The sequence below is a fragment of the Homo sapiens genome, chromosome X, assembly GCF_000001405.40.
Source record: "Homo sapiens chromosome X, GRCh38.p14 Primary Assembly".
NCBI classification, from domain to species: domain Eukaryota; kingdom Metazoa; phylum Chordata; class Mammalia; order Primates; family Hominidae; genus Homo; species Homo sapiens.
This window is the reverse complement of record NC_000023.11, coordinates 23,981,811-24,005,442: the sequence shown is the minus strand read 5'-3', so window position 1 is coordinate 24,005,442 and position 23,632 is coordinate 23,981,811. Positions and strand designations below refer to the sequence as shown.

The window sequence follows — 23,632 nt, the reverse complement described above, 5'->3', positions numbered from 1 at the left end:
TTTTACTGTGAATACTAACTAAATTTGACAATGAAAACATGTTATATGTCTAAAAACATCATTTTGGCATTTCTAAACAAGTAGACTATAACTCTTCTATCTACATTGATCAACCATCCCTGGGCACATTTTACCATGCAAATAGTTCTCTTAAAAATAGTCTTTCTCTGAAACAGCCTTGGCCTTTTTTTGCATGTAAGCATTTTCATTTTTATATCAGAGTTTCACTTGTGATCCTTTCTTGCCCAAAGGTCATAGAGCACTTTTAGTAATTGCTTAACTTAATTGGTTTCTAATCACATGGTTACCTCTGGGGCTCTGTTTACTTCTTGCATCTTCTCTTTTTTCTAGAAAGCACACTGAAAACTTGGTCGGTCACTTTTCATGTTAAATAGTTCCTCAGCTTTAGTTATTAGACCTGGTTATAAAAATACAGTATCTGCAAAGGAGGGTTGTCTACGCCATTTGAAAAATAAACCCATTTGCGCCTTTGAATAACAGCAGCCTGACATATTTTTTTTTCCTCCAAAATGCTGTGAAACTGAGAATTCAGTTTTGTGGATTTTTGTCTTTTATTCTCAATGTATTGATGTGGCAGAAATAATTGAAACTAAATTATATATATGTATGTATGTATTTTTTTTTTTTTTTTTGAGACAGAGTCTCGCTCTGTCGCCCAGGCTAGAGTACAGTGGCGTGATCTTGGCTCGCTGCAAACTCTGCCTCCCAGGTTCAAGCGATTCTCTTGCCTCAGCCTCCCGAGTAGCTGGGATTACAGGCGTCAGCCACTGTGCCTGGCTAATTTTTGTGTTTTAGTAGAGACAGGGTTTCATCATCTTGGCCAGGCTGGTCTCGAACTCCTGACCTCATGATCCACCCGCCTTGGCCTCCCAAAGTGCTGGGATTACAGGCGTGAGCCACCCCACCCAGCCAATAATGTATTTCTTTTATTTTTTGTTTAGTGATAATCAGCCCCACATCAATTATGTAAATCATTTGTCTCTGATGTTTTGATTTTTTTCCTATTGTTTTTATTGCTCTTTTTCCCTGGGGAATCCTGTTTTGTTTTGTTTTTGTTTGTTTTGTTTTGTTTTGAGAGGAGTCTCACTCTGGCCCTGGAGTGCAGTGCTGCGATCTCAGCTCACTGCAGCCTCCACCTCCTGGGTTCCAGCAATTCTCATGCCTCAGCCTCCCGAGTAGCTGGGATTACAGTTACCCACCACCATGCCTGGCTAATTTTTTGTGTGTGGAGATTCTTAATTCTTCCTTTGGTAGTAACAGATTTGAACAGTGACTTAATAGTGTAGGGAAGGGGGCATTCTGCCTCAACCCAAGGAAAAGCCCCCATTCGTTCTAGGGACACAAGTCATGTCCTCTAGCTGTGCTGAAATCTTTGGGTTTATCCTTCTGCAGTATCTATGTAGTCCTCTACTGGATTTTCTCCTTAGGTGAAGATAAGATTGTCTTAACTTTTTTTTTTTTTTTAGTATACTTTTTTCTTTTTTAATATTTAACTTTTTTTTGTAGAGATAGGGTCTCACTGTTGTCCAGGCTGGTCTTGAGCTGGCCTGAAGTGATCCTCGTGCCTCGGCCTCCCAGAGTGCTGGGATTATAGATGTGAGCCACCGTGCCTGGCCAGATTGTCTTAATTTTTGTACTAAGTATTCTGTGGGACCATCATCGAAGAGGCCAAGGCTTCCAAATTTCCTGAGTTCCTTAGAGGCAGCAATACTGTTTATCTGAACACTGCATGTGCACACGAGCACACACACACACACACACACACACACACACATATATTTATGCTAGGTCATGTACTAAGTGCTCTTACCGTACATATAGGTAGCATCTACATGGTTTTTTTTTGTTTTTTTTTTTTTGGTTTTTTTTGAGACGGAGTCTCACTCTGTTGCCCAGGCTGGAGTGCGGTGGCACGATCTAGGCTCACTGCAAGCTCTGCCTCTCAGGTTCACGCCATTCTCCTGCCTCAGCCTCCTGAGTAGCTGGGACTACAGGCACCCGCCACCACGCCCGGCTAATTTTTTTGCATTTTTTTTTTTTAGTAGAGACGGGGTTTCACTGTGTTAGCCAGGATGGTCTTGATCTCCTGACCTCGTGATCCGCCTGCCTCGGCCTCCCAAAATGCTGGGATTACAGGGGTGAGCCACCGCGCCTGGCCATGCATCTACATGTTATCCCCATTTTATAGATAAGGAAACAGGCACAGAAAGGTTAAGGATCTTATTCCAGACCAAGTGGCACTGTCCAGACTGAAAGCCAGGGCAGCTGCTTCCCAATCTGGGACTTCCTGTTACAGCTAATAGAATAGGGAGAAGACCCTAAAGTGCAGGAAGCATGCTGTTAACCTGTGGCCTAGCTTGGGTCATTCTGAAGTTGTTAAAGAGCTATGAAAATTCTAAGCTGTTTGCATTAACAAAACATAGCCTAAGGGCAAGTGTATGTTACAGAGTTGTAAAAATTCTAAGGTGTTTACATGAGCAAAACATAGCCGAAGGGCTAGGAAGGGTGGTTTACGCCTATAATCCCAGCACTTTGGGAATCCTAGGCAGGAGGATTATTTGAGCCCAGGAGTTGGGGAACAGCCTAGGCAAAGTAGGCAAACCTATCTCTACAAAAAATGTAAAAATTATTTGGGTGTGGGGGCACATGCCTGGAGTCCCAGCTACTGGGGAGTTTGAGGTGGGAGGGATTGCTTGAGCCCAGGAGGTCGAGGTTGCAGTGAGCCACGGTCGTGCCACTGCCTTCCAGCTGGGCGATAAAAGTGAGAACCTGTTCCCCCCAATCCCCTACCCCACCCCATCCAAAAAAAAAAAAAAAACATAGCCTAGGAAATTTAATGGCACTGAAAAATACATATAAAGTGTGGGAAAACTTTGATATGAAAGCACAAATCTTGGGTTTTCACTGAAATAATCAAAGAAATTGAAATTTTAAGGATCTTGTCCTTCTGACATAGTTATTTAAGGATTTTTATGACTCATTTGATCTATAGTGGATTCCTAGTTTTAAAACTAGACTACAGTTTCAGTTTTTACTTATGCAAATGTCTGTGGCATGTATTTTTACTAGCTCTGATGGTCTTTGCACATGTTAACAGATAAGGCCTGACATTTGTCATTCTGAATTTCAGTGATGTGAAGATTTAAATAGTTTCAACTGCTTTCTTTGGTCTTTGATTTTTAAAAAACAATGATTGTTTTATTGAAAACATTTTATGAAGTAAACGTATATTTGGCAAAATGCATATTATACTTTCTTTATTTATTTATTTATTTATTCATTTTCTTTTGAGACAGAGTCTCGCTCTGTTGCCCAGGCTGCAGTACAGTGGCGCGATCTCAGCTCACTGCAAGCTCCACCTGCCGGGTTCACGCCATTCTCCTGCCTCAGCCTCCCGAGTAGCTGGGACTACAGGCGCCCGCCACCACGCCCGGCTAAGTTTTTGTATTTTTAGTAGAGACGGGGTTTCACTGTGTTAGCCAGGATGGTCTCGATCTCCTGACCTTGTGATCCACCCGCCTTGGCCTCCCAAAGTGCTGGGATTACAGGCGTGAGCCACCGCGCCCGACCTATATATATATTTTTTTCTTCTTCTTTTTTTTTTTTTTTTTTTTTTTTTGAGTCAAGTCTCGCTCTGTCTCCTAGGCTGGAGTGCAGTGGGGTGATCTTGGCTCACTGCAACCTCCGCCCCCCGGGTTCAAGCGATTCTCCTGCCTCAGCCTCCCGAGTAGCTGGAATTACAGGTGTGTGCCATCACGCCCTGCTAATTTTTGTGTTTTTAGTAGAGATGGGGTTTTGCCATGTTGGCCAGGCTGGTCTCAAACTCCTGACCTCAAGTGATCTGCCCACCTCGGCCCCCCAAAGTGCTGGGATTACAGGCTTGAGCCACCACGCCCAGCCTATGCTTGACTTTTTTTGTACATAAAAGATTTTTAAAGCAAAATTGTTAAATTATTCATTAAAATACCCATATGTTGATTCTCTAGTACAGTGACATTTTAATATTTTTGAACCCAGGGTATCTTCAGTATTATAAATATGCATAAGGTAAGATTCAGCATCCCAATGATCCCCTTAGAAATTGTATTAATATGTAAAATACAGTATCTTACATAATCATAAAATCTTTTCACTTTCTCAGAGGGAAAGAAATCTATTTTAAATCCGATAAAGAGAAAAAACACATTAGTTCAGCTTTGTATTTAGGATTTTATAGTTCATTTTTCATTGGCTATTAAGGAAGTAGATTATATAGAAGTATTCTGCTTTAAATACAGCCATCATGCTTATTCCAAATATTTTATTTTATAAACTGGCTCATGATAGACCCCCTAATGTACTTTTTTCCCCAGTCTGTTAAATGTAATTCAGTATATCCCCCCAAAATTGGATTTCTGTAACTTACAGAGAATTTATTATAAGAATATTCACAACTTTGGGCCGGGTGAAATTGAGGTACATTTTTAAATGTGTATTTAAAAGCTACATTTTAAAATGGGGGACATTTATTGTCCTTAATATAATCTCATGCTTAGGTGGTAATGCTGTTCTGGTTAATTGAGGCACAACCCATTTGGTAAATGAAATTGCCTGGGCAAAGCCACATCTATGTAAACTGTAGGTGCTGTATGCCCCTCCAGAATTCCTTCACTTAGGCATTGGAACATGTTTTAACTAATCCAGCACTTGACCAATGCAAAATTTCTGTCCAGGAAACCATCAACTGCAGTGTTACCATAATTTAGCCAAAAACTCTTTGGAAAAAAACAGTTCATTTATATCTAATGACTTCAGCTAGAGCCAGATAAATCTAGAGAAGTAGAAATTTCCCTCTAACCCTCAGTTTTGGAAGTACATGAGAAATATAAGCCCTCAGTTTTAGAAATATGTGAGAAATATAAGCAGTGCTGTGTTTGACACTAACAAACTTTTTTTATTATTTATTTATTTATTTATTTTGAGATGGAGTCTCACAGGCTGGAGTGCAGTGGCACAATTTCTGCTCACCGCAACCTCCAACTCCCTGGTTCAAGTGATTCTCCTGCCTCAGCCTCCCAAGTAGCTGGGGTTACAGGCACGCACCACCACGCCCAGCTAATTTTTGTATTTTTAGTAGAGACGGGGTTTCACCATGTTTCTCGATCTCCTGACCTCATGATCTGCCTGCCTCAGCCTCCCAAAGTGCTGGGATTACAGGTGTGAGCCACCATACCCGGCCGGGCCAACTTTTTAAAAGATAGTAACCTTTATTTCAAATGTGAAATTTGATTAGAATTTCTAATAAGCTTGAGTTGTTTTTGAAAAAGTTCTAAATCTCCTTCAGATACCAGATAATATGCAGCTAGAACTTGAAATTGCTTAAATTAACAATGAACTCACCTCTTGGAGTGAAAGCATAGAGATGAGCAGGTTTTCTGTTAGAAACTAGGTCAGTGGGTTAAGTGTACTTTCTCAGTTAACTTAATGTCTTTTTCTGCATCGGACTCCTTTTTGCCAACCCTTCCTCCCCAACCCCATGGACTTTGGAAGATTGTAATTAACGCATGTGCAGTTCTTTCGAAATCACGCAAGGTGTTTTTCTCCTCTAAAGTTTTCTGCCTTTTATGTATAGATGTAGAGTGTTCTTATTTTCTACCTTTGACTCGCATTCACTCCAGGTTCACAGATTCCTGAAGAGTGCCTGTAATCTAGGTGTTGACTACTATTAGGGCCTTAGGAAGGAAAGATAGTATCTTGGGGAGTGTATTAGACAGACAGGAACCTATTGAAAATTGGAGTGTAAAAGTTCAATCTTACTTGCTGATTCTCTCTTTTTTTTTTTTTTTTTGAGACGGAGTCTCGCTCTTTCGCCCAGGCAGGACTGCAGTGGCGCTATCTCGGCTCACTGCAAGCTCCGCCTCCCAGGTTCATGCCATTCTCCTGTGTCAGCCTCCCGAGTAGCTGGGATTACAGGCGCCCGCCACCGCGCCCGGCTAATTTCTTGTATTTTTAGTAGAGACGGGGTTTCACCGTGTTAGCCAAGATGGTATCGATCTCCTGACCTCGTGATCCGTCTGCCTCGGCCTCCCAAAGTGCTGGGATTACAGGCATGAGCCACCGCGCCAGGCCTCTCTTTTTAAATTAAAGATGAAAACAAGCATAGGACAATTGGAAATTAAAAAGGAAGACGTGGAACAGGGACAGCTTTCTTGACATTTAAAAGGAGAAAACCGTGGCCAAGCGCAGTGGCTCACGCCTGTAATCCCAGCACTTTGGGAGGCCAAGGTGGGCAGATCACCTGAGGTCAGGCGTTTGAGACCAGCCTGGCCAACATGGTGAAACTCCGTCTCTACTAAAAATACAAATAAATTTGCTGGGCTTGGTGGCAGGCGCCTGTAATCCCAGCTACACGGGAGGCTGAGGCAGGAGAATCCGCTTGAACCCAGGAGGCGGAGGTTGCAGTGAGCCGAGACTGCACCACTGCACTCCAGCCTGGGCAGCAAGAGCGAAACTCCGTCTCAATCAATAAATAAATACATTTAAAAAAATGAGGAAACTCTTAAGAAATTGGAAGAAAAAAACAAATGATAAGCAGAAATTGAAAAGGATCAGAGAGTCTGGAAATGACTGGAGAAAAGGTTTGGAGCAGGAAAGGAAGAAGGGGAAGTACTATGAGTTAAGGCTTTTAAGTTTTAGTTCCAAATTTATTATTCAGAAAATGCCACTTGTGTAATAGGTAAGCATTGTTCATTCAAAAGTTAGTTTTAGGATGAAACCTTTTATTTGGCTTTCCTGTTCTATCATAAATAGGAAAATAAAATCCCTCATAAGTTGTGAATTCTAGAACTTAGTTGTACTATCTAAATATTAATATAACCAGAAAATAAAAAGATGGTCCTAAGTCACACCTGTAATCCCAGCACTTTGGGACGCCGAGGCGGGCAGATCACGAGTTCAGGAGATCGAGACCATCCTGGCTAACACAGTGAAACCCCGTCTCTACTAAAAAATACAAAAAATTAGCCGGGCATGGTGGTGGGCACCTGTAGTCCCAGCTACTCGGGAGGCTGAGGCAGGAGAATGGCATGAACCCAGGAGGTGGAGCATGCAGTGAGCCAAGATCGCGCCACTGCACTCCAGCCTGGGCAACAGCAAGACTCCGTCTCACACACACACAAAAATTGCTGGGCACGGTGGCACACGCCTGTAATCGCAGCACTTTGGGAAGCCAAGGCGGGCGGATCACAAGGTCAGGAGTTCGAGACCAGCCTGACCAACATGGCGAAACCTCATCTCTACTAAAAATACAAAAATTAGCCAGGCCATGGTGGTGCGTGCCTGTAATCCCAGCTACTGAGGAGGCTGAGGCAGGAGAATCACTTGAACCTGGGAGGCGGAGGTTGCAGTGCGCTGAGATTGTGCCACTGCACTCCAGCCTGGGTGACAGAGTGAGACTCCGTCTCAAACATTATTTTCTACCTCGGAGGCTTATTAGGGTTTTTTGTTTGTTTTTTTGGTAGGGATGGGGTTTTGCTGTGTTGTCTTGGCTGGTCTCAACTCCTGGCTGGTCTCCTGGCATCAAGCCGTCCTCCCGCCTCAGCCTCCCAAAGTGCTGGGATTACAGGCATGAGCCATGGCACTTAGCTGAGGCTTGTTAGTTTCTTTTTCTAAAATTTAAAAAAAAAAAATTTTTTTTTTTTTTTTTTTTTTTTGAGACAGAGTCTCACTCTGTTGACCAGGCTGAAGTGGAATGGCACAATCTCAGCTCCCTGCAACCTCCACCTCCCGGGTTCAAGTGATTCTCCTGCCTCAGCCTCCCGAGTAGCTGGGACTACGGGTGCACACCACCACGCCCAGATAATTTTTGTATTTTTAGTAGAGATGTGGTTTTACCATGTTGGCCAGGCTGGTCTTGAACTCCTGAGCTCAGGTGTTCACCTGCCTCCCTAAGTGCTAAGTCTACAGGCGTGAGCCACCCCGCCTGGCCAAAAATTTTATTTTTTTAGAGACGAGGTTTTGCCTTGTTGCCCAGGCTGCAGTGCAGTGGCACCATCATAGCTCACTGCTGCCTTGAATCCCTGGGCTCAAGTGATCCTCCCACCTTGGCCTCCTGAGTAGCTGGGACTACAGGGGCACACCACTATGCCCAGCCTTTTACATTTCTAATAGTGTTCTATTACTATTGCACTGAAATTTGAAGGAAATTAGACTTTGTAAGCACATTTATTCTTTAAGTATTTTTTACTCTCTAAAAGGGTTGAAGGGATAGAGAACTTTACCAAATTGTGCTAAAACTCTCTTGCCCTGAGGGCACCTCTCCCTCACCCCTATTTACCCTGGTCACTTTACTTCTGAAGTTCACTTCTGAAGTTCAGTTCATTTTTGACTTTGCCTGCTTGGAGAGAAGAGGGTGAGTAAATTCTTACTACGATTTATCTTTATTTACCATTTGGTATTGACTATAAATACAGTATGACTGAAAGGATTTATGCTTAGCATGAACTGATTTTTCATAGCTTTATCCTTGGTCATTAACTCAGTTTTTCAGGACAAAGGGATTGATTAAAGGCATATTGCACCTAGCTTTTTTTGTGATGATTTTGTTTTACGTAAATCAATATAAGCTTTAGTTCTGAGCAAGATTTTACAAATAAAGACTTCTCATACCAGGGTACATAGTTTTGCAATATAGCATCTAAAGACTGCTCCATGTTTTACTGAGAATCAAAATTATATCAAATGTAGCTGATACAGGGTTTTTTTGTTTTGTTTTGTTTTTTGAGATGGAGTCTCGCTCTGTCATCCAAGCTGGAGTGCAGCGGTGCGATCTCGGCTCACTGCAACCTCTGCCTCCCGGGATCAAGCGATTCTCCTACCTCAGCCTCCTGAGTAGCTGGAATTACAGGTGCCCCCCACCACGCCCAGCTAATTTTTGTATTTTTAGTAGAGACAGGGTTTCGCCATGTTTGCCAGGCTAGTCTCGAACTCCTGACCTCATGATCCGCTCGCCTGGCCTCCCAAAGTGTTGGGATTACAGGCGTGAGCCACCACGCCCGGCCTGATATGGTTTGTTTCAGCATTAAAGCACCACGATAGTAACTACTTGGGAAGATTGCATCATGGTGGAGAAGAGATGATAAAACTGACAACCAAGACTCAGTCTTGATACCTCCTTGTACTTGTCATTCGAGCGATTAGGTTAGCATTTTTTGGATGTAGAAAGGGCCAGAGAGGTGCCTGTTCACACAGGTAACCTCTTTAATAGGGCCAGGCACCATCTTAAGTTCAGGAATTGCTCCCCCACTTCCACCCCTTCTGATAGATAAACTAATAAAAGGTATTTTGTTTCTTTGATTTAATATAAGCATATTGGATATTTTAAAAATTATTTCGTGGCTGGGTGTGGTGGCTCATGCCTGTAATCCCAGCACTTTGGGAGGCCAAGGCAGGCAGATCACCTGAGGTTAGGAGTTCGAGACCAGCCTTGCTAACATGGTGAAACCCCATTTCTACTAAAAATACAAAAAATTAGCCGGGCATGGTGGCATGTGCCTGTAATCCCAGCTACTCGGGAGACAGGCAGGAGAATCACTTGAACCCAGGAGGTGGAGGTTGCAGTGAGCCAAGATCGCACCATTGTACTCCAGCTTGGGCAACAAGTGAAATCCGTCTCAATTTTTTTTTTCTTTCAAAAAGTGTATCTTAAATTGGCTGGCTAGGCTGGGCACGGTGGCTCATGCCTGTAATCCCAGTACTTCGGAAGGCTGAGGCAGGCAGATCATGATGTCACGAGTTCAAGACCAGCCTGGCCACATGGTATTCAGATTCTTAAGTTTTAAAGGTAATTTGTATATACCGTCTTTAATTTTGAGAGAATTAAAATGTAACTTGCAATATAATTAAAATAGGGATTTCCACAGAGTTTACTACCTTTATTTGATTAAAAAATCTGGAATTAAAAAAAAATGTACTCTAACTGGCTACAGTCTAGAATTATTTTAGGCTTTTAGCCAGCCTTTTTTTTTTTTTTTTTTTTGAGACAGAGTCTCGCTCTGTTGCCCAGGCTGGAGTGCAGTGGCGTGATCTTGGCTCACCACAACCTCCACCTTCCGGGTTCAAGCAATTCTCCTGCCTCAGCCTCCCGAGTAACTGGGACTACAGGCGCACACCAACATGCCCGGATAATTTTTGTATTTTTATTAGAGACTGGGTTTCACTATGATATAACATTTTGACAGTGAATGGAGAAACATGAAATATTTGCCCAGCTGTAATGGCTAGTTATTTCTCCAACTTTATATATTTGTGTGTGTGTATATATGCGTGTGTGTGTGTATGTGTATACATATTTACAGGAACTGTATTCAAAGTTAATCATTTCTCATACTTCATTGTCAGCTATATCATACATGCACACACAATTAAAGTAAAAGATGTTTAGAGGAAATGGACAATTTACATTTTCAGGCTGGGCAAGGTGGCTCATGCTGGTAATCCCAGCACTTTGGGAGGCCGAGGTGGGAAGATCACTTCAGCTCAGGATTTTAAGGCCAGACTGGGTAATATAGTGAGACCCAATCTCTATTTTATTAAATAATCAGTAAATTAAAAAAATTTTTTTTCAGACCACTGAAATTATATATAATTATATGATATATTCAGAATAAGACAAAATGCTTTTCATTATACAGTTTTTTAAAGTATCAAAGCAAGAAAAGTAGTAACATTCTTTCCAAGCTTTAAAACATGACAGCTGTTTAATCCTGTGAAAGGCAAAGGAAAGTAATTCAGAACATGAAAGAAATGTCGTTCTTTCCATACCTCTTTGAGAGTACCTGATACACAGATAAACTGTTATGTGAGAAATGAAGGATGGGAGAAGTGCCTTCTCTATGAAAAGATGAGCCACATACTGTTCTGCAGTTTTCTTATTTAACATTTTGAATATCTGTGTTAGTGCATATGGATCAACCTCACTCTTTTTCACAGCTGCATATGGTATATACCAGAGTGTATCCAACCAATGTCTTATTGATAGGTGATTGGAGTTATCCCAGGTTTTGTGCTCTTACAAACAATAATGCAATGAGCATCCATTCTCTTGACAGTTCTTACTACAGAACTTTTTCTTACACTGGCATAAAATCTCCCTCTTAACTTCCACTTACTGGTCCTGAAAAGAGTTGCCATCTTTCTGAGTCTTCTCTTGTGTTGAAACATTCCTCACCCATTTGACCATTCTCCCTTTGGATCCCTTCACTGTCTTCCAGATGTGGTCCACTTTGTCAGTGTTTAATAGTATAGTGATAATAACTTCACACTGTCTTGGTTGTGGTTTTACCTGAATAGAGAGGGTGGACTTGCCTATTTTCTTTTTTTCTTTTTTTTTTTTTTTTGAGACAAGGTCTCACTCTGTTGCCCAGGCTGGAGTGCAGTGGCACTATCATGGCTCACGCAACCTCAACCTGGGCTCAAGCTATTCGATTCTCCCACTTCATCCTCCCGAGTAGCTGGGACCACAGGTGCATGCCACCACGCCTAGCTATTTTTTGTATTTTTTTAATTATTATTATTTTTGTAGTGACGGGATTTCGCCATGTTGCCCAGGCTGGTCTCAAACTCCTGAGCTCAAGTGATTTGCCCGCCTCGACCTCCCAAAGTGCTGAGATTACAGGTGTGAGCCACCGTGCCCGACCAGGATTGTCTGTCCTTTTAATTTAGTTTACAGTTTTGTTCCTACAGCTGCCATATCACTTTAGTTCATATTGAGGATAGTCAGTCGAAGCTTTACATTTGGAATTCGTGGGTCCCTGGAGCACCTGATAAAAACTGAACTTCCAGTCACCTCACCCTACCCCCCAAATGCATTAACACACAATTATTGCTGCAATTTCAGGTGGTTCATGGGTCCCTGGTGTTTCTCTTTTCTTTATGATTAGACCTTGTTGATTACTTTGCTGAAGTCATAGGTTCTCTCATTCTCTATCAGTGCTGTTACATCATCAAAAATTCAACAGGAAACTGAGTCAGCCTTGGCATTACCCTGTGAGTTCATGCTGCCTCCAAGTGTGGGGCGCTTTTTTGTTTTGGTGGGCTATTTTTCAACAATACAGGATCTACCTCAGGCTAACCAGTCTGTAGTTCAGGAATCTGTCTGGCTTCTAGTCCTGTCCCATTCATCGCAATTCCACACAGATTGCAGAAAGCAATTAAGCAGCCTTATCTATGAAGCCTCAAGGATCCCAGGAAATTAGTTTTGAGATCGAATGACTTGAACTTGCTGAGAATAACTAGCTAGTTTTTCTTTTTGTTCTCAACCATCTTGGATTTAAGTTTCTTCTTAGTAATTGTATTTAATCCTCAGATTAGAAGGCATAAGACATTAGCTAAGAATGGAAATCAAACAGGAGTAGGGTTGTTTCTCTTTGTTATTTGTTAATATTACATTAACCACCCTATGGGATGGGGGTGGGCTTCACTCTTCCTTTAACCTATAAAATGCCATTTATTCCACATCTCTTACTTCGTCAAGTCACAGTTCATCCTGAGGCTTTAGCCTTATTCACTATATTCTTGTAGCTCTATTTCACTCGTTATAATACTTGTTTTATGTGCCCAATTTTTACCATCTGTTGTAAGTGGTTTTTTAACATCTGAATTCCAGAAAGCTCTCTGTGCAGCGCATCAGATTTAGATACGTTCCCCTTTTCTTCTTCTTATCAGTGTATTTTGCAATTATGCAGTCAGCGTTATGCTTTTGAGAGCTTCCAAGCCTTCTTGAGCTTCCTTACACAGTTTCTGATCTTGGAATTGATCCTAATTTTCCTTTGAAAAACTTGAAATCTGCCTATCCAATATGTGCAGCATTCTCCTTCCTTTGTTTTTTGATCTCCAAACAACATGGCTTCTTTCTCTAAAGCTTCCTCCCATTTGCACATTACCAATCATGTTTCACCAGTGAGGATTAGGTCCAAAATAACAGTTTCTCTCATTTCTCCTCAGTCTTCTGAAAGACTAAATTTTTACAGAGACAAAAGCATGTCATGAGATGCACTGATTTAAGCTGAGTGACACTTTTGCAAATGTGCCCTGGTCATTAATAATAGCTAATAATAGCTGATACTTTTTGCACACTGCCACACGACAGGCACCATACTAAATCCTTTTCACGTACTCTCACTTCTATCATAGGGTTATGAATGTGTTATCCCAATAATACAGTTGAGGATATGGGCTTAAAGATATTGAGCTATGTGCCCAAGATTGCCACAGCTCATGAGTGCCAAAGTCAGAAATTTCCTAAATTGGATCCTTAATCACCAGACATGGTGCTTAATTACCATGCTGGACAGGATTCTGTTACTTGAAAACCTGTGTAGCTCTCAGACCACTGGCTGTGCACAGTAGGCACTTAAATATTTAATTTGAGGTTTATGATTCTTGCTGATTTTCAGAGTATTGCCCTTCAGCTCCTACAACTCAATAAGAAAAAGATGAGAAAAATCGGTAAGGCACACTATTAGGCAATTTATAGAAGAAATGAATGGAAAATACTCAGTTTTGTTTTTTGTTTGTTTTTTTCAGGTTTTTGTTGTTGTTTTTTCGAGATGGAGTCTTGCTCTGTCACCCAGGTTGGAATGCAGTGGCATGATCTCAGTTCACTGCAACCTCCGCCTCCCAGGTTCAAGTGATTCTACTACCTCAGCCTCCCAGTAGCCGGGATTACAGGCAGGCACTGCCACGCCTGGCTAATTTTTGTATTTTTAGTAGAGATGGGGTTTCACCATGTTGGCCAGGCTGGTCTCGAACTCCTGACCTTGTGATCCGCCTGCCTCGGCCTGTCAAAGTGCTGGGATCACAGGCATGAGCCACCGCGCCCAGCCTGGTTTTGGTTTGTTTGTTTGTTTGTTTGTTTGTTTTTGGAGATAAGAGTTTCGCTGTTGTTGCCCAGGCTGCAGTGCAATGGCATGATCTTGGCTCACTGTAACCTCCACCTCCCGGGTTCAAGCGATTCTTCTACTTCAGCCTCCCAAGTAGCTGGGGTTACAGGCATGCACCACCACACCTGGGCTTTTTTTTTTTTTTTTTTGAGACAGAGTTTTGTTCTTATTACCCAGGCTGGAGTGCAATGGCGCAATCTCAGCTCACTACAACCTCTGCCTCCCAGGTTCAAGTGATTTTCCTGCCTCAGCCTCTTGAGTAGCTGGAGTTACATGTACCTGCCACCATGTCCAGCTAAATTTTGTATTTTTAGTAGAGACGGGGTTTCACCATGTTGGCTAGGCTGGTCTTGAACTCCTGAGCTCAGGTAATCTGCCCGCCTCAGCCTCCCAAAGTGCTGAGATTACAGGCATGAGCCACCGTGCCTGGCCAATGTTAGTTTTCTCTCTTATGTAGTTGGACGAGGGGTTCTCAGCCTTTTTTGTGCTATTTACCCCTTTGCTGATGTTGTGAAGCCCATGGAAGGACCCCTTCTCAAAATAATGATTTTAATGATAAAATGCCTGACATTACAAAGGAAACCAGTTATACTGAATACAGTTTTCAAAATACTTAAATTTGTGACGTTTTTTGTTTTGACCACTGTTTTGGACTAAGGCAAGGAATTAGTGAATGGGCTAAAGAAAGAAAGATAGGAAGGAGGAAAGGAAAGAGAGGAGAAGGAAGGGGGGGGAGGAAGCTCATAAATATATACACCTGGTTTTGACTTCCCTCCCAAACTGTCATCCCAGATTTCCAACAGGCTCTTAGACATTTCCGCCTCAGAACCCTATCAAGGAAGTTGAATACCTCTCCCAAACCAGCTCATCTTCCCTGCTTTCCCTATTGATATCAACACTCTTTCCATCACCTCAAGTCTAAATGCTCAAATCACATTTGAGTCCTCATTCTTTCACCCTATTTCAAATCAGTCATGGTTGTCTGTAGATGTTATCTCTACGCTATCTAATTCCTGTTACCCAAATTTAAGACCCTCTTATCCTTGTCTTATTATGACAAAGGATTTTTCTGCTTGGTCCCCTACTTCTTATATCTTCCACAAAGTATCTCTTGAATGTCTTGGGCCAGTTTAGTATAATCTTTATCTCTAATTCTGCCACACTCACAGATGTGCTGTTTGGCTTCATACCTAATTGTCACCTGACTCATTTACCTATTGGTAAATTTGTATTTGTTTCCACTTTCCCAAATACATTCTAGGTTCTTTAAGGAAACGGATCACATCTTACGCTTATTTTTGTTTCTCCCTATAGCACTTAGGACAATACTTAAAAGTGCTTTATTTTTATTTTATTTTATTAATTTTGTAGAGATGAGGTCTTGCTTTGTTTGCCCAGGCTGGTCTCAAGTGATCCTCCCACCTTGGCCTCCCTAAGTGCTTGGACAACAGGCATGAGCCACTGCACCTGGCCAAAAATGCTTTATATAAATCTTGGTAGTCATCATAATTAGGTAGCTCCAGCTCCAGAAGCAAAAAGGAAAATGTTTGCCAGGCGCAGTGACTCACACCTGTCATCCCAGCAGCTCAGGAGGCTGAGGCAGGAGGATCGCTTGAGGCCAGGAGTTCAAGACCAGCCTGGGCAACAGAGCAAGACCCCATCTCTAAAAATATATAGTAATAATAATTTTAAAATAAAATTTTAAAAATTAAAGGAAAAAGTTTGACCTGATATCTACTGAATTCTTACAGGAGTTATCAGACCAAGTCTTTATGTCAAAACCCCGAAATTTTACATGTATTTAAATTTTCACTAACTTAACTCCCCAAATGATTCAGTCACAGCTTTATGATGTTACTTGTGGTTAAGAAAACTGTGGATATGGTTTCCTCTACTGTGAAGCCCTGTACTTGTCCTCATACCCGCTACTTGTAGCCCAGGGCTTCACATAATAGGTGCCTAATTATTTGTTTACTCTTAAAAGCTTGGGAATGTACATAGATCATTATAAATTAAGAAAACATAGGAGGCCCAGTGCAGTGGCTCACGCCTGTAATCCCAGCACTTTGGGAGGCTGAGGCGGGTGGATCACAAGGTCAGGAGTTCAAGACCAGCCTGGTCAAGATGATGAAACCTCATCTCTACTAAAAATAAAAAAATTAGCTGGGCGCGTGGTGGCAGGCGCCTCAGGAGGCTGAGGCAGAGAAGTGCTTGAACCTGGGAGGCGGAGCTTGCGGTGAGCTGAGTCCATGCAACTGCACTCCAGCCTGGGCAACAGAGTGAGACTCCATCTCCAAAAAAAAAAAAAAGATTTTTTAAAAGCTTTGTAGAAAACAAAAGAAAGTAGGTGATCTTAGCAGGAAAAGCAGTTTTAGTAAAGTGAGCCTAAGATGATCGTATTAGTCAGCTTTGATAATTTGTTTGCAGCTGATGCTTTTTCCTTTGGTTAAATTCTTTTTCTTGTGTTCTTAGGTTAAGACATCAGAATTTTATAGATACTCCCGACAGCTCCGTTACGAAGTTGACCAAGCATTGAATTACTTTCAGAATGTTCACCAGCAGCCTTTGTTGGATATGAAGTCAAGCCGCATCCGTTCTGCAAAACCGCAAACTACAGTATTTCGAGGAATGATTGGACATAGCATGGTTAACAGTAAAATACTTCTCTTAAAGAAACCAAGAGTCTGGTGGGAGCTAGAAGGCCCACAAGTACCTCTGCGACCTGACTGCCTTGCTATCGTCAATAATTTTGTGTTCCTGTTAGGCGGGGAAGAGCTGGGCCCGGATGGTGAATTCCATGCTTCTTCCAAAGTATTCAGGTATGACCCGAGACAGAACTCCTGGCTGCAGATGGCAGATATGTCTGTACCACGCTCTGAATTTGCTGTAGGTGTTATTGGGAAGTTTATTTACGCCGTAGCAGGCAGAACCAGAGATGAGACTTTCTATTCAACTGAGAGATATGACATCACCAACGATAAATGGGAATTTGTGGATCCTTATCCAGTTAACAAATATGGACATGAGGGGACAGTGCTCAATAACAAATTGTTTATCACCGGTGGAATCACCTCATCTTCCACCTCCAAGCAAGTGTGCGTGTTTGACCCCAGCAAAGAAGGGACCATAGAACAACGGACCAGGAGAACTCAAGTGGTTACCAACTGTTGGGAGAATAAGAGCAAGATGAATTACGCGAGATGCTTTCACAAGATGATTTCTTACAATGGCAAGCTTTATGTCTTCGGTGGTGTCTGTGTGATCTTGAGGGCCTCTTTCGAATCTCAGGGATGCCCTTCTACAGAAGTATACAACCCAGAGACTGATCAGTGGACCATCTTGGCATCCATGCCGATTGGTAGAAGTGGCCATGGTGTGACTGTGCTGGACAAACAAATAATGGTTCTTGGAGGCCTTTGTTATAATGGTCATTACAGCGATTCCATCCTCACTTTTGATCCGGATGAAAACAAGTGGAAGGAAGATGAGTACCCTCGGATGCCCTGCAAGCTGGATGGTTTACAAGTATGCAACCTGCATTTTCCGGACTATGTACTGGATGAGGTCAGGCGTTGCAACTAATGACATCCTCCTCCCTAAAAAAAGAGGCAAACAAAGTATTTGTTTGCACAGAGTAATTAATTAAAACATATAAAGAAAAACCTCACCAGTTTTACTATCAAAGCCATTGGTCTAACATTGTAAGAATTTTTCATTCTGTGCTAGCATCCTTTTTTTCTTTTCAGTGGCCTCAAACTCATGCAATAAGTTAATTCTAAGTGCTAGCTCTTGAAACTACTTCCAGAAGCAGTTGAATAGAATGCTCCACTTATCTGGGATATTGATTTTCTGCTTTAAACATTTCTTTCAGATGTTAGCGTAGGAGTCATGTGTCTTCTAAGAGAAGACCCGATAAGTGTCACTGGATGTGATTTCAGTCTCTGTCTCTATCTGAAACCTTTTTGAAGATTTATTTCAGTGTATTTCAGTCTGTTATACTTTTTAGTTTTATTATTTAAAAGTTTAAAACTCTTGACCTTTTTGCATGGCTTTTTGCTGAAAATGCAAAAATATAAATTTTCTACAAAATTAACTTTTTATATTCAAAACACTATTTCTAAGCTGCCTTCTCTTATCCGCATTGTGTTAGTGAAAGCATATTCATACTCGCATACAACCTATAAATACACAAGGCACATCCCTTTTATGCGTGGTTAGGATTCTATATTTTTAAGCTAGTGCACTTACTTGCACACACAGTTCGCCATACTTGTTGAATTTTAGATGTAACGTCTTTTCACATATTAACATTTTTAGAAAGTTGAAATAACTGGAGTCCTCATTTGCTATCAAAGTAGCCTATCTTCAGTCCATACTGATTCAGTAATATTTGAACTCCTTATATTTCTGAAACATGTATGGTTATGAAAACTAACACTTTATATTTTATTTTCAAAAGTAAATGTTAGTGTTCTTTGTCGATGTATGTCTTTTCTTTTTGAAAATGTTTTTCTTTGCAGTCTGTTTAACGTTACCCTGTTTTTAGTGAGAATCGGAGTGGTATATGACAAGTTCTGGCCCTGCAGCATGCAAGCACTTTTAAAGAGCATTTAGGTAATACCAGACTCCTAAATCAAGGCCCCTTAAAAGTAAGTGCAACTCCCATTTTTTACATTCAGTAAGGCTGCTGCATTTGTTATTGAATGGAAGGTAGAAACTCTTAGAAAATTTGACCTCAGTTTTGACTTAGAGGTAAGAAATAGAATTATAATGTTACTGGTTTTATCTACTTGTTTATTTTGTACAAAATACCCAGCGACACTAGGGATGTAAGCCCTCAGTTTTTGTTTTATTTACTGAAAGCTATTAGCATGAAGGATAGTAACCACAAAGTTCAGAATGGATCAAGAATAGCTGTTTAAAAGCATTTATAATAAGTGTTTTAGGATTAGCTGCACCTTTCAACTCTTTAAATGCAGAGGAAAAAACATAGTTGACAAAGTTAAGCAAGAATAACCTGGGAGTGGATCATTGAAATTGATGCCATTTGCGCATGAGTAGTCTATATCTGATACAGACTAGATCTATACTGGCAAAACTTGCCAGATCTTAGAATATTGGTGCAATATTGCAATGCCTTCTATATGGCTGCTGATGTATAAATTTTCTAGTTTCACTTTGTTTGGTGTTTTTTGTTTTTTTGTTTGTTTGTTTGTTTTTTTGCTGCTGCCACCATTGAACATAAAATGGAAGTGTGAAGTCATGGAAATGTGAAGACTTTGGTTTTTGGGGGTTTTTTGGGCAGTTATTAGACATACTATGAGATTAAACCTGATCTTCAAACTCCAGAATTGGAGGCATTTGGGTTTAAGAAACCAGGTACATAAGTAGCTTTTGAAAAAACCATTGGCATTGATTTCAAAAATCAATAATAATCTTATTTTATATATGAGACTTATATTTTCATTAACTAGTCCTGTCATTTACTTACAGTTTCCAAACATGAAATTTGGTATCTTGTTTCCCATGGTAATATGGGTAAAAGTCTTTTTCTACATTTAAAAAATACATTATTTTATTTTTGAAAGTTAGGAATAAGTTAGCCATTTAATTTTTTTCTACATTAGTTTAGTGGCTTTGTATGTGTGCTATTTTGCTTTAAAGAAAATAACGTCTTCATTATTTTCCTCATTGATGTCTTTTGCTAGAAAAGACCAAGAAAGAGCCATCAGGCCAGGTATCCACATCAAAGCCTTTACACTATAGTGGTGGTTCTCTTTAATTGCTTAGATATGACTTCATGACCCTAGTCAGGGTGACATCTGGGCAAACATTTGAGTATTCTTGGTCTTCCATTTTAAAGACAGAGGCCAAGATCAAAGTTCATGTTTTGTAAAATTCGTAAAATCTTAACTTGAACTAACTCTGGGTTCAGCTTTACGTAAGTCACGTCGGACCTGATGTTAGCTGTAATCAGTTTTGAGCTTTAAGGATAGTTGCTGTTGCTTGGGTTCTGAATGTATGAGAAAACTCCCTGTTTATATGTAGTTCTAATTTAGGTTATTTTAAATCCATGATTAACTTACATTCCCTTTTAAAATTATGGTTTTATTGCTGCAAGAGATTTATTTTTGTTATACTAAACTATGGAAAAGTTTTTCATAGCATTTTTTTCAAGTTTATTTTTTGTGTGCTTCATTTGGAGTTTTTGTTTATATACATTGCGCTCAAAAAAGTAGTTTTTTGAAAAATTCAGTAAGATTTGAATCTATACAGTTTAACTGTTATGACCTTTATGCGTGTTGTTTTCACTTTATATCTCAAATGCCAGAGTTCACAAAAATAGCTGATCTTCATTAATTACATCTTAATTAGAACCATTTGTTCTCTTCCGTGTCTTTGACCTTCTAAGTTTTGATTTTAAAGAAATTCCTTGCACTACAGCCTTTTCTTAAAATGCAAGATTCTCACTTTGAAGGTTTTGTGTTGGAAGAAATGCTACTGGTTTTTAAAAAGCAAAGCTTAACTAATAGAATTATTAGCTTTTCTTGAGACAGCTTTCTGTGTCCTCATTACTCTGCTCTGTGTGAGTGTTACTAGAATTTGTGAAATACTGACTGAGCCCTTCACTTATCTTTTCTAAAGCAGCACCTTTGGACACCTCATTCTGGGAAGCCTGCTCGAGTCATAGTAAAGGACACACGCTTTATGTGGGGAGAAGTGGTAAAAATGGAGTTTTGTCTTAATTACATGAAACTAAGCTTTAAAATATTTTATAACAGATTATTTGAGCTGCATAATCTAAACATGTCAAACGTTCAGTGGGACTATTTTTATATATGTATATGTGGGTGTAGGTCATAACATTTCAGTTTATAATATAAATTGTTATTTCAGTTTATAAGCTATCTCTCAGAGGAGACTAGCTCTTTTGAGAATTCATAATTTAAAGTTTTAGACTGAAGTAAAATGCAACATAGATAATAGTGTAAATCAGATATAATTGAGGGCTATATGGCAGTAAAACTGCTAGTGCCAGTTTTCTTGTTTGCCTGTTATACATTTTTGATTTTTGTTTTTGTATTCTGAACATTTTGAGAGATCATATGTTTGTTCAATTACATTTAGAGTTGGTTTGGGAATAAATATCTTCTAAAAAGAGATTTATCTTAAAAATGGAAGTCCTAAAAATTAGTTTATCCAGAGTTTATAAAGTCAAATATTCAGTAGGCATAGACTGGAATAGATAAATTCATGGAAATCATATCCTTTCAGTACACCGTATAACTTCAATATTACACAAGTAACATTGAGGAGAATGCCATCAGCTTTGTTCTCCCTTAAATTCTTTGGTTTTCTTTTTACATTTTGGGAACAACTGCATTTAAAATGTTATTAGTCAGTATATAGTAAGGATTAGGTGTTTGCTTTCTGAAGGAATGGTCCAGTGAGGTGATTGGGAGAGGTTATTTTCTACCTAACTTGTATATGCCCTATACCTCTTGGGCATACTTTGTCTATAGAAAAATATTTTGACCTTTAGGTACATTTTGGGCCAGTAGTCAAATAATCCTAGGGCCGATATAAAAATCTTAGAATAATTTAAGGTTTGCCTTTTATACCTGTTTTGAAAGCCTTTACATTTTTGTCAGGTAATTTTTCCCAAGCCGTGGATATAATCTATTCAAACATGTTTATGCTATCCATTCTGTTTTTAAATTGAAAAAAATGTTAAAAGTGTTTATGAAGAAAAGTTTAAATAAAATATTTTTAATCTTTAAAATATACTTCTTTATCTCTGATTATTTGCTGTTTTTTGATATAATCCATCACTTTCAAAGTCACTAATGACTTGATTAGCAGAATACATTTTGTTTTCCTTCAACATGCCAAGGAAGTGCCATGAAAATGTGATTTCTGCCAGTGCTTTCAGCCGCAGATTCAAATGAGAGCATTAGAGTGAAATTATTTATACTCTTATATGCAATGGAAATTTTATAATGAAGCCAAGTAATTAAAGTTCTACTAACACAGAGTTTTGCAGTCTTGCAAAATGAAAATATAGAACTGAGAAAAAGCATTTACAAGCCTCAAGCCTTAGTTTGGTGATGTTTAGATTTCCTTAAGCATTTTTGATTCATTGGTCTTCCAGGCATTTCTGAAATTCAGAACTAGGTGGAGGCCTTGGGTACATCAGCACATGTGTGCCATCTTTCAAATGACACCTAAGAAACCTCAACAGCATTCCCAAGCACCTAGATCCTGGCCTCAGGCAACCTTTCCAGCCTCTTTCTCCCCACCACTTCCTACACTCCATTCTGTTGTGATCTTTACATGTGTTCCTTTCCAGCCTAAAATTACTTGCCTTTCTTTCCCCTGCCCTGCTTGTTAAAATCCACTTATTTTTGCAAAGTCCAACTCAAATGTTTCCCTCCCCTCCTGAAAGCTGCATTAGCTCTTCCGTTGAATTAATTGCCTCTTCTACACTCAACACACTTATAGTTTCTATTTAACTTCATTTTGCATAATAATTGGGCATGATTCTTTCTCCACAACTAGATCATAGTCTCCTTGGGTGAAAAGATCTTTCATTCTTTGTACCCTCATATCTAGCATTTGTACACAGTACGCACTGAGCTAAATGTTTATTGCAGCATATGACAAATTCAATATGTAACAGACAAATGGTATAGGTATTCAGATGAGAGAGAGATTACAATGCCCTGGGGTTTTGTCTCTGCTTGCATCTCAGTCTACATACTCTGTACTATCTCATCCATACCTATACCTATGGCTTCATCTACAACTGTTACTCTTTTTTTTTTTTTTTTTTTTTTTTTTTGAGACAAGAGTCTCACTCTGTCCCTCAGGCTGGAGTGCAGTGGTGCAATCTCAGCTCACTGAAACCTCTGCCTCCCAGGTTCAAGCAATTCTCTTGCCTCAGCCTCCCGAGTAGCTGGGATGACACTCCCAGCTAGTTTTTGTGTTTTTAGTAGAGACAGGGTTTCACCATGTTGGCCAGGCTGGTCTCAAACTCCTGACCTCAAGTGATCCACCCGCCTCCGCAGCCTTTTACTGATCTCCCTTCACCCTGAGACTAAGATCCAAATTCCCTAGCGTGCGTGCCACACAAGGCCCTTCATGCGTTGCTCTCTTTGTACCTGTTCAGTCTGTTTTACGTTCTATCCTCTAGCTATGCAAGCTAATTGGAGTTCCTGAATAGACTGTGTTTTCTTAAGCCTGTCTGCCTTTGCACACATGCTTCCCCTCTTCCATTCCTGCCTAACCCTTTCTTGGCCTTCAAGAACCAGCCTGGGCATCATGCCCTCTGTCAGTTTTTGGTTTTTTTTTAACCCCTTGGGACATGTTAACATTGTCCCCTTGGTCTTACCATAACACTTGTGGATACCTAGACCCCATCTCCCTTAACACGTGATTAGAACTGTCTTCTCCATCCCACCCTTAATCGTACTCCTTGAGGGCAAATACTGTGTTTTTATTTTCCAAGAGTCTGACTTAATGTCTGGTACATGGTAAGTCCTCCTTAAAAGAGAACTCAGAAACTTGGAATGTTGCCAATGAAATGCTCTGGGTGAGGGGGTACCTGTATGAGAGAGCTTGATTGTCTGCCAAAGTTGACCTCCCAGAGGAATTTCCCTCCATTTCCACAACCACCACTCCTGTGTCTAGAA

The 23,632-nt window shown here is 40.3% G+C and overlaps 1 protein-coding gene across 1 annotated transcript in view; it reads left to right on the top strand.

The window, feature by feature from the left end:
• KLHL15 (kelch like family member 15) overlaps positions 1–21,723 on the top strand; it is a 43,467-nt gene extending 21,744 nt beyond the window's left edge. Inside the window, exon 4 of the mRNA NM_030624.3 lies at positions 16,413–21,723. Within this exon, the coding sequence (NP_085127.2) occupies positions 16,413–17,522 (1,110 nt within the window). The 3' untranslated portion in view covers positions 17,523–21,723. The remainder of the gene's footprint in view (positions 1–16,412) is intronic.